At 39.5% G+C, this 12,278-nt stretch overlaps 1 long non-coding RNA gene across 1 annotated transcript; it reads right to left on the reverse strand.

The window, feature by feature from the left end:
- Positions 1 to 6,948: 6,948 nt before the first annotated feature.
- Positions 6,949 to 11,644, reverse strand: LOC101927237 (uncharacterized). The gene is made up of 3 exons (NR_110747.1): positions 11,536 to 11,644; positions 10,542 to 10,702; positions 6,949 to 8,635 (listed from the first exon to the last, which is right to left on the reverse strand). It is a non-coding gene; the product is annotated as an uncharacterized LOC101927237 (long non-coding RNA).
- Positions 11,645 to 12,278: the final 634 nt, after the last annotated feature.

Below are 12,278 nucleotides of genomic sequence, written 5' to 3' on the forward strand. Positions count from 1 at the left end.
TCTCTAAATACTTGGTTTATGAATCTAGGTGCTCCTGTATTGGGTGCATATATATTTAGGATAGTTAGCTCTTCTTGTTGCATTGATCCCTTTACCATTATGTAATGCCCTTCTTTGTCTTTTTTAATCTTTGTTGGTTTAAAGTCTATTTTATCAGAGACTAGGATTGCAAACCCTGCTCTTTTTTTTTTTTTTTTTTTTTTTTTTGCTTTCCATTTGCTTGGTAAATCTTCCTCCATCCCTTTATTTTGAGCCTATGTGTGTCTTTGCATATGAAATGGGTCTCCTGAATACAGCACACCAATGGGTCTTGACTCTTTATCCAATTTGCCAGTCTGTGTCTTTTAATTGGGGCATTTAGCCCATTTATATTTAAGGTTAATATTGTTATGCATGAATTTGATCCTGTCATTATGATGCTAGTTGGTTATTTTGCCCATTACTTGATGCAGTTTCTTCATAGTGTCAATGGTCTTTATATTTTGGTATGTTTTTGCAGTGGCTGGTACCAATTTTTCCTTTCCATATTTAGTGCTTCCTTCAGGAGCTCTTGTAAGGCAGGCCTGGTGGTGACAAAAATCCCTCAGCATTTGCTTGTCTGTGAAGGATTTTATTTCTCCTTCACTTACGAAGCTTAGTTTGGCTGGATATGAAATTCTGGGTTGAAAATTCTTATCTTTAAGAATGTTGAATGTTGGCCTGGTTTGTAGGGTTTCTGTAGAGAGATCCTCTGTTAGTCTGATGGGCTTCCTTTTGTGGGTAACCCCAACTTTCTCTCGGCTGCCCTTAACATTTTTTCCTTCATTTCAACCTTGGTGAGTCTGACAATTATATGTCTTGGGGTTGCTCTTCTCAAGGAGTATCTTTGTGGTGTTCTCTGTATTTCCTGAATTTGAATGTTGATCTGTCTTGCTAGGTTGGGGAAGTTCTCCTGGATAACATCCTGAAGTGTGTTTTCCAACTTGGTTCCATTCTTTCCATCACTTTCAGGTACACCAATCAAACATAGGTTTGGTCTCTTCACATAATCCCATATTTCTTGGAGGTTTTCTTCATTCCTTTTCATTCTTTTTTCTCTAATCTTGTCTTCATGCTTTATTTCATTAAGTTGATCTTCAATCTCTGATATCCTTTCTTCTGCTTGATCGATTCAGCTATTGATACTTGTGTGTGCTTCATGAAATTCTCGTGCTGTGTTTTTCAGCTCCATCAGGTCATTTATGCTTTTCTCTAAACTGATTATTCTAGTTAGCAGTTCCTGTAACCTTTTATCAAGGTTCTTAGCTTCCTTGCATCGGGTTAGAACATGCTCCTTTAGCTCAGAGGAGTTTGTTATTACCCACCTTCTCATACCAACTTCTGTCAATTCATCAAACTTATTCTCCATCCAGTTGTGTTCCCTTGCTGGTGAGGAGTTGCCAGCTTTTGGAGGAGAAGAGGCATTCTGGGTTTTGGAATTTTCAGCCTTTTTGCACTGGTTTTTCCTCATCTTCATGGATTTGTCTGCCTTTGGTCTTTGATGTTGGTGGCCTTCGAATGGGGTTGTCACGTGGTCATCCTTTTTGTTGATCTTGATGCTATTCCTTTCTGTTTGTTAGTTTTCCTTCTAACACTCAGGCCCCTCTTCTGCAGCTCTGCTGGAGTTTGCTGGAGGTCCACTCCAGACCCTGTTTGCCTGGGTATCACCAGCAAGGGCTGCAGAATGGCAACAATTGCTGCCTGCTCCTTCTTCTGGAATCTTCGTCCCAGAGGGGTACCTGCCAGATGTCAGCTGGAGCTCTCCTGTATGAGGTGTGTGTCGACCCCTGCTGTGAGGTGTCTCCCCGTCAGGAGGCATGGGGGTCAGGGACCAACTTGAGGAGGCAATCTGTCCTTTAGCAGAGCTCGCGTGCTGTGCTGGGAGATCCGCTGCTCTCTTCAGAGCTCGCAGGCAGGAATGTTTAAATCTGCGGAAGCTGCGCCCACAGCTGACCCTTCCCCCAGGTGCTCTGTCCCAGGGAGATGGGAGTTTTATCTCTAAGCCCCTGACTGGGGCTGCTGCCATTCAGAGGTGCCCTGCCCGGAGAGGAGGAATCTAGAGAGGCAGTCTGGCTACAGCAGCTTTGCAGAGCTGCGGTGGACTCTGCCCAGTTCGAACTTCCTGGTGGCTTTGTTTACACTGTGAGGGGAAAACTGCCTACTGAAGCCTCAGTAATGGCAGATGCCCCCACCCCACACACCCGCCCACATCCACAACAAGCTCGAGTGTCCCAGGTTGACTTCAGACTGCTGTGCTGGCAGCGAGAATTTCAAGCCAGTGGATCTTAGCTTGTTGGGCTCCATGGGGGTGAGATCTGCTGAGCAACACCACTCGGCTCCCTGGCTTCAGCCTCCTTTTCAGGGAAGTGAATGATTCTGTCTTGCTGGCATTCCAGGTGCCACTGGAGTATGAAAAAAAACTCCTGCAGCTAGCTCAGTGTCTGCCCAAATGGATGCCCAGGTTGTGCTTGAAACCTAGGGCCCTGGTGGTATAGGTACCCGAGGGAATCTCCTAGTCTGTGAGTTGTGAAGACAGTGGGAAATGCATAGTATCTGGGCCAGATAGCTCCGTCCCTCACAGCGCAGACCCTCATGGCTTCCTTTGGCTAGGGGAGGGAGTTCCCCAACCTGTTGCACTTCCTGGGTGAGGTGACACCCCTACCCTGCTTCTGCTTTCCTTCAGTGGGCTGCACCCACTATCTAACTAGTCCCAATGAGATGAGCTGGGTACCTCAGTTGGAAATGCAGAAATCACCAGCCTTCTGCATTGGTCTCACTGGGAGCTGCAGATCGGACCTATTCCTACTCAGCCATCTTTCCCAGGCATCAATGTTTGTATTTTTTGTGGAAACAGAGTTTCACATTGTTGCCCAGGCTGGTTTTGAACTCCTGGGCTCAAGCAATCCACCCGTCTCAGCCTCCCAAAGTGCTAGAATTACAGGCATGAGCCACCAAGCCCAGCCAACTCAATTTTTCAAAACAAAAAAATTAGTTTAAAAAAGTGGCATGGTTTTACATTTTTGCCAATTTATAATATCTAGCTTAATAGAAGACAGTTGTATTCTCATCTTGACTTCTGTATGCAATGTGATACAATATGCTGTTTGAAAGAAATCTGGTCACACAGATATGTAATTGGAAAAGGGAGAAATACTATCATAGCCTTTTTAGATTCTAGGGTGTATGCTTCTTTTACATTGAGCTAACATTGATAAGTGGTATTTTCTTAAAGTTTGTTGTAAGGTGGCATCTGAACAGCCAAATTAACAAACTTTTTAAACTTTATGATGTTAAAATTTGTTGGACTTTCTTACATCTCAAATAGATCTTTTTACACATACATAATTTTGTATCATGCATGGCTCATTTGAAAATATTGGTTCACTGAGTTATGTGGATCATTCAAATGCTGATGCATTTCACTATACCATATCAAAAACTCACATTTGTTAATATATCATCAGCAAAGTCTTTATGTATTGGGACGCAGTGAAGTTCAAGGTAGTAGATACAAGTCTTCAAGGATAATTCTAATTTTCACTTGAAAACTCAAATTTACCATTGGAAACAAATACTGTCAGTTGTTTTCCCTGAAGTTATAAGCTCATGTAATTCATTTCCAAGACAAGATGTTTGCCAAATATCCAAGTCTTAATAACAATTGCTTATTTGTCAATTGGTCACTCAAAAATTATATTTCATAAAAATAGTGTCTGGTCCAGCTCACAAGTCAAAAAAAAGTGCTTTTCCTTTGGACAGTCATGACATTTTTTAATAGCTTTATCAGGATAAAATTCACACAATTCACCCATTTGAATTGTACATTTCAATGATTTTTAGTATATTCACAGAGTTGTACATTGTACATCATAACCACAATCAATTTTAGAATGTTTCAATTACCAGCCAAAGAAACCAAATACGCTTCAGCCATCATCTTCCAATTCCTCTATCCTCCCCAGTGATAGGCAACCACTAATCTACTTTCTGTCTCTATAGATTTATCTATTCTAGACTATCATATAAATAAAATCACGTGGTTTTTGTAACAGGCTTCTTTGACTTACCATAATGTTTTCAAGGTTCATCTAAGTTGTAACATATATCAGTACAGTACTTCATTCACTTTTATGGCCAACTTAAGATCTAGGTTATCTATATGATGAAATATTGTTTGGCCATAAGGCCTCAAACAGCTGATGCTGCTTCCATTTTGGGCTAAACAATGCTGCCAAGAACATTACTGTACAAGTTTTTGCATGGAGATATATTTTAATTTTTCATGGGTATATAACTAAGATTGCCATTGCTAAATCATGTGATAACTCTATGTTCAATCATTTGAGGACCTGCCAGACTGTTTTCCAAGCAGCTGCACTATTTATCATTCACACCAATAGTGTGTAAGGGTTCCAGTTTCTCTTCATCCTCTCTAACCCTTGTCTTTATCTGTCTTTTTTTATATTAGCCGTCCTAGTGGGTGTGAAGTTGTACCTCACAATGGTTCTATTTGCATTTCCCTGATGGTTAATAATGTTGAGTATCTTTTTATGTGATTATTAGCCATTTGTATATCATCAGTGGAGAAATGTATTTTCTAATTATTTGCACATTTATAAATGTCAATCGAGTTATAAACTCAATTTATCTCTGTATTATTCGATTGTAGGAGTTCTTTATATGTTCTAGATACAACTCTCATCAGATTTAAAATTTTCAAATGTTTTCTCCCATTCTGTGGGTTGTCTTTTTATTGATGTCATTCTTTGAAGCATAACATTTTTTAAATTTCATGATTTCTTGTTTATTTTTACTTTCATCCCTTGTGGTATTGGTGTCATATCTAAAAAACCATTGCCTAAGGCAAGGTCCACAAGCGTTACATCTATGTTTCCTTCTATAAGTTTTATAGTTTTAGCTCTTAATTTACGCCTTCAATTCATTTTGTATTAATTGTTATATACATGGTGAGGTAGGTGTCCAAATTCATTCTTTTGCATGTGGCTATCCAGGTGTGCTAGCATTGGTTGCTGAGGAGACTATTCTTTGTCCATTGAGTTGTCTTGGTACACTTTTTAAAAACCAGTTGACAACAGATGTATAGTTTTATTTCTGGATTCTCAATTCTGTTCCATTGGCCTATATGTCTCTTTATGCCAGTGTCATACAGTTTTGATTACTGTAGCTTTGTGGTAAGTTTTGAAATAAGAGAAAAATGAGAGTCTCACTTTGTTCTTTTTGCACACTTGTTCTGGCTCTTCTATAATAGGTCCCTTGAATTTCCATGTGAATTATATTTTATTTTATTTTTGAGACAGAGTCTTGCTCTGTCACCCAGGTTCAAGTACAATGGCACAGTCTCAGCTCCCTGCAACCTGCACCTCTCGGGTTCAAGCAATTCTCATGCCTCAGCCTCCCAAGAAACTGGGAATACAGGCATGTGCCACCATGCCTGGCTAATTTTTGTATTTTTAGTAGACTCAGGGTTTTGCCATGTTGGCCAGGCTAGTCTCGGACTCCTGGCCTCAAGAAATTCCCCCATCTCAGCCTCCTAAAGGGCTGGGATTACAGGCGTGAGCCACTGTACCTGACTGTGAATTTTAATTTGTCAGTTTCTGAAAAAAAAAAAAAAAAAAAAAAAAACAGCTGTTATTCTAATAAGAATTGTCTTGAATCTGTAGATTAATTTTGGGAGTACTGCTACTGTGATGGTTAATTTTAGGTGTCGACTGAATTAAAAAATACCTAGATAATTAGTAAAGCATTACTTCTCGATGTGTCTATAAGGTTGTTTCTAGGGGAGGTTGACATGTGAGTCAGTGGCCTGAGTGGGGAAGATCTACCCTCAATGTGGGTGGGTGCCATCCAATACCTTGGGGCCCAACTAGAACAACAAAAAAAGAGGGGAAAGGATTTCTTCTCTCACCCTCCAGGACCTAGGCTACACTCTCCTCCTCTGCCCTTAGAAAGCAGAATTCCAGACTCTGCAACATTGGGACTCCAGGAGTTAACACCAGCAACTTTTCAAGTTTTCGGGCCTTTGGTCTCAGACTGAGAATTACACCAGCCTTCTGGTTTTGATCATTTTAGACTTGGACTGAACCATGTTACAGGCATCCCAGGGTTTTGAGCTTAAAGATGGCCTGTTGATATGGTTAGGCTTTGTGTACCCACCCAAATCTCATCTGGAATTATAATCCCCATAATCCCCATGTGTCAAGGGAGAGACCAGGTGGTGGTAATTGGATCATGGGGCAGTTTTTCCCATGCTGTTTTCATGATAGTGAGTGAGTTCACATGAGATCTGATTGTTTTATAAGTTTTTGGCTGCATAGTATTCCATGGTGTATATGTGCCATATTTTCTTAATCCAGTCTATCATTGTTGGACATTTGGGTTGGTTCCAAGTCTTTGTTATTGTGAATAGTGCCGCAATAAACATATGTGTGCAAACCTGCACGTTGTGCACATGTACCCTAAAACTTAAAGTATAATAAAATAAATAAATAAATAAGTTTTTGTTAGTTCCTCGTGTTCATTCTCCTTCCTGCTGCCTTGTGAAGAAGCTGCCTTGCTTTCCCTTTGCCTTCCACCGTGATTATAAGTTTCCTAAGGCCTTCCCAGCCATGTGGAACTGTGAATCAATTAAACCTCTTTCCTTCATAAATTACCCAGTCTTGGGCAGTTCTTTATAGCAGTATGAAGAATGGACTAATACACCTGTTGTGGAACTTCTCAGCCTCCATAATTGCTTGGGCCAATTCTAATAAATCCCCTTTCATCTATCTGTCTGTCTATCTATCTATCTATCTATCTATCTATCTATCTTCTATCTATCAATCCATCTACTGTTCCAGTTGGTTCTGTCTCCCTGGAGAACTCTAGTTAATATAACTACCTTAACAATATTAAGTCTTTCAATCCACAAGTATGGCATATCTTTTTATTTAAGTCTTTCAACCCACAAGTATCGGATATCTTTTTATTTATCCAGGCCTTCTTTAATTAAAGCAAAATGTTTTTTAGTGCTCAGTGTACAACTCTTGCACTTCTCTCACCAAATTTATTCTTCAGCATTGCATTATTTTTGACGCCATTGTTAATGTGATTGCTTTCCTAATTTAATTTTCAGATCATTTATTGCAAGTGCATAGAAATATAATTATGTTTGTATATTGCTCATGCGTCCAGCAATGGGCTAGACTCATTTATTAGTTCTAATAGTTTTTTAGTGGATTCCTTAGGAATTTCTATATATAAAATTACATCATCTGCAAATAAAGATAGTTGTACTTCTTCCTTTCCAATATGGACACCTTTTATTTTGTTTACTTCCCTAATTGCCCTTACTAAAGCTAACAGTATAATGTTGAGTAGAAGTGGCCAGAACAGCTTTCTCTTGTTTCACATATTAGAGGGAAAGCATTCAGTCTTACCCCATTAACAATTAACCACATTAGTTAGTTGTGGGTGTTTCATAGATGCCCTTTAGTAGGTTGCATAAATTTCTTTCTATTTCTTGTTTATTAACTGTGTTTACTGTGAAGAAGTATAGAATGTTGTCAAATGCTTTTTCTGCTTATAATGGGGTGATCATATGGTTTTTGTTCTTTATTCTATTGATGAGGTGTGTTACATTAATTGATTTTCAGATGTCAAAACGGCTTGTATTCTTGGAATAAATCATACTTGGTTATGGAGTGTAATCCTTTTAATATACTGCTGGATTTGATTTGCTAGTGTTTTGTTGAGGAATTCTGTGTCTATATTCATAAAAGACATTGATCCGTAGTTTTCTTTTCTTGTAATGTATTTGCCTAGATTTGGTATCAGGATAAAATTAGCCTCATAGAATGCATTGGGAAGTGTTCTCTCATCTTTTATTTATTGGAGGAGTTTGTGAATAATTGGTATTAATTACATAAATATTTGACAGCATTTACCAGTGAAGTCACCTGGTCCTGGGCTTTCCTTCATGGGAATGTTGGTATTACAATTTGAATCGCTTTACATGTTATAAGTCTATTCGGATTTTTTGGTCTTTCTTGAATCAGTTCAGGTAGTTTGGGTCTTTCTAGAAATTTTTCATTTTATCTAAGTTACCTAGTTTATTGCCATACAGTTGTTCAACTACGGAACTTTTGTACATAGCAGAAGTGCTCTCTATATATTTCCCATTTCACCACGCAGAATATTGAAAAATATGTGCGCTCAAGGATCAAAATTTAATAAAATTAATTTTTTACTGCTTCAGCAAGGACATTCTGAAGCTATTTTTTTAAAAAAAACGTAATTCCTTGGTGATGAAGAATACAATGACTACGAGGGCATTTGATGCCAGTATCCAGAGGTCCACAGAGTATACCTTCAGAAGTACTGGCTTATACTAAAGACTCTGTACTTCAAGTTTGGGCTATTTAAGTCATGCATATCCTTTTTCTCTTGTAAAGTTCTTGCAAATGAAAGCCTTGCTTACCAGACTATTGTTTCTGCAATGCTGTTTTAACAATTTTTTTAAAACTAGTTAAAATGTTCAACTTAGCAATGTCTTCTTTGCTTTCAGTTATACCAGCTCGCACCTTGAAGCAATGGTATCTGAGCTTCAATAAATGGAGACCTGCAGGGCAAAAAATAACAATTTCAGGGAAGAAAAAATATTGTTTCAAATTTTCAAATTTTACTTCCTTTCACAGGCAGTCATATTATAGTTCTGCGGGTGCTTGGATGAAGAAAAGCACTGGTGTCTATGAAAGCGCAAAGAATAGGTGCCAAAAATCACTTCTGAGCAGAGGCAAGGCATGGAGGGTAAAGAAGAGCACGCCATAGAGAAAGGGCACATGCAAAAGATCCAAAGATCAGACAGCATTTGACCCAGTAGTTAAATGGAAGTCTTTTTTTTTTTTTTTTTTTTTTTTTTTTTTTTTGGCTGCAAGGCAAACTGAAAGGATATAGCTCTAGAAATAAAACTGTCAAGGTAAATAGGAATGGTATGATATCCACTCACATTGATGAGGGCAGGTCTTCTTTACTCAGTCCACTGATTCAAATGCTAATCTCTTCTAGAGACATGCTCACACTCTCAGAAATGTTTCACTAGCTATTTGGTAAAAATATTGTTTAAAATCCTCAAATTTTATTTCCTCTCATGGGCAATCATATTATCATTCTGTGGGTGCTCTGATGAAGAAAAGCACTAGTGTCTATGAAAGCACAAAGAATGGGTGCTGTTCATTGTTACATTAAGGACGTGTGACATACTCTTGAGAGCAATAGGAGAGACATGAAAAATCACTTTGGCTACAGTGTGCAAAATAGATTAGAAGAGCAAGATAGGAGGTCAGAAGAGCAGTTAGAAGATTGTTGAAATAATCCAAATGAGAGAAAATGGGGGCCGGAAAACACAGTGGCAAAGGGTGAAAAGGGCAGGTAGATTTTTAAAACAGAAACATAAAAACATCAAAACTGACAAAATTTTAAATGCAGAGAGTGAGAGAGAAGAAAATCAAGAATAATGCCTACGTTTCTGATGGATGGTGTGTCATCTTAAGATACGCAAGAGTGGCCAGGTGCGGTGGCTCACGCCTGTAATCCCAGCACTTTGGGAGGCCGACTGGGCAGATCACGAGGTCAGGAGATCGAGACCATCCTGGCTAACACGGTGAAAACCCGTCTCTACTAAAAATACAAAAAAAAAAAAATTAGCCAGGCGTGGTGGCAGGTGCCTGTAGTCCCAGCTACTTGGGAGGCTGTGGCAGGTGAATGGTGTGAACCCAGGAAGCAGAGCTCGCAGTGAGCCGAGATCGCGCCACTGCACTCCAGTCTGGGAGACAGAGCGAGACTCAGCCAAAAAAAAAAAAAAAAAAAAAAAAAAGATACACAGGAAGGGGTTGGGGATATTTAGGTGAGAAGTTAATTAGCTGAGTTTGGCACAGGCAGTTTTGGGTGTTTATGAGATATGTGAGTCGAGATATATGGTGAATTATTTAACAGAAGTTTTCTGTACATTGCTGAGAATAGCCAAGTTAGTTTCTGCTCATTTTTATTTATACCATTTTGCAAGCTTGTGTGAGTATCTTCAACAGCGCTCAGTAGCTTGGGTGTAAGAGCTAGTATGGCTGATGACTTGGTGATGATGGAGCATGCTGGGATAATGACACTGGTTCCAGCAATTCTAATTTTCAAGTGGGGAAGAAGAGCTTGTGCCACAGAAGTCAGCAACTGTGGTCCCAAGAATAACAGTCTCCAGAAACATCCTTCAACTGTGCAATTAAAATTGAGGGTGGCCGATAAACAGGACCCAGAAGAGGAAAGCCCATGGAAGGAAAGAGACAGATCAGCAAAGTTGTATTGCTCTCACCAGGGCTTTTTCTCAAGGCAAAATTCCTGTTGTGACATAGACATCTTTATTCCATTTTTTTCTTTTTCTCACCTTTCCTTTCTGTTTTTTTAGTCAAGATTCTGAGAAGGAAAAAGCACTATATTTTAAGCTAGAAAAGACATGATACAGGAAATCAGGTGCTTACAGCCTTATTGATAGGGATGATGCAGCAGGTCTTCTCAAATGATGCTCATGCAACACAGAAATGATTTTTGGGGGCAGATACCACCTCCGAGCCTGCCCTTGTAGCTATGCTGGAGCCACTCCAACACTCTCTGGACACCCAAGAAGATGGAGAATAGTCACCTGAAGATTCAATACAAGGAATAGGATGTCATATCAAGAAATGACAATTGCCAGCATTGCATTTCAACACCCAGGAAGCTAGAGAAGGAATACTAGAACAACATTGTGGGGAAACCTAGTGTTTCCATAACATTGCTTGCCAAAATCATGAGCCAAGAACCACTGGAGAATGGCCCCCTGTTTACACCTACCTTCCAAATCTCATGTAAGTGCATTTATTTGGCAGAACCTAATATGCATTTAATGGCTAACACGGTGAAAACCCGTCTCTACTAAAAATACAAAAAAAAAAAAAAAAAATTAGCCGGGCGTGGTGGCGGGCACCTGGAGTCCCACCTACTCGGGAGGCTGAGGCAGGAGAATGGCGTGAACACAGGAGGCGGAGCTTGCAGTGAGCCGAGATCACGCCACGGCACTCCAGCCTGGGCGACAGAGCAAGACTCAGTCTCAAAAAAAAAAAAAAAAAAAAAAAAAAAAAAAAAGATACACACGAGGGAGATAGGGATATTTAGGTGAGAAGTGCATTTAAAACCTAGATGAAAGGGGGTCTTGGAAATGTAATTTTTGCCTTTTCAATCAATCACTCAACGGAGAGGAGGGCAGAGTAGAGTTTAGGTGAGTCAATTCAGAGAACCCACATCCTGGGGATGCCAACAAAGAGGAAAATGTGTTTTTATTTTTTTTATTTTTTCAGAAATGATGTGTACCCTCCTCCTCGCCCTATTCAGTGGATCTATGCCAAGAAATGATTAGGAAGTTACATTTCTGGCCCTCAGATGAGAAGTTACTAAGCCTTTAGTTTCTCTTACTTAAATTTTTATTTGAGGTTTCACCTTTTCTCATACTTTCCTTGAGCCTTGTGTCACACCTGATGGACTTTTCCCAAGCCAAGATCACTTTCAAATCAGACATCCTATTGAGTGGCAGGTACTGTTCAAGGCACTAAACACACAAAAATGAAGAAAGGAATTGAAAAGCCTGGTCTTTAGGAACATTATATTATAATAGGAATGATAAACAACGAATAAAATGATTAAATAAACTACAAGCTATTTTAGGAGGTGGCCAGAGCTGTATTTAGTCCAAGGCTATTTGTCCCCCACTACTGAGGCAAGATCCTTCTGAGTAATTTTATTAATGCCCCATGTCTCATGAGGTTTTCCAGTCTGGCTGGTGAAAGCAGACACTATGCACTGTTTCTCCAGTTCCTCTCAGTTATTTCCCCAGCCTTGGGTGGTCTCCTCACAAGCATGAGCCAAATGTACTCTGCTGAACACTTTGGGAAACTCTCCAGCGCCTTGGTCTCCCTTGACTCTCAACTTGGGAAGTCTACTAGCTCTCCTTGGGTTCCTCCTTCCTTTTGTCTCACATTCACAGGATAACTGTGTTGTATTTTATGATGTCCATTGTTTTGTAATGCACTATTTCATGTATTTTCTCTGCTTTGGGGGTTGTTTTAGGCAGGAGAGTAAATCTAGTCCCTTTTACTACATTATGGCTGAAAGCAAATGTTCTGATGACAGCCCCTATATGTCCCAGTTGGTATGTTTACTAATTTTATGAAATGGTAGGACAA

This window comes from Homo sapiens, chromosome 4, assembly GCF_000001405.40.
Source record: "Homo sapiens chromosome 4, GRCh38.p14 Primary Assembly".
NCBI lineage: Eukaryota > Metazoa > Chordata > Mammalia > Primates > Hominidae > Homo > Homo sapiens.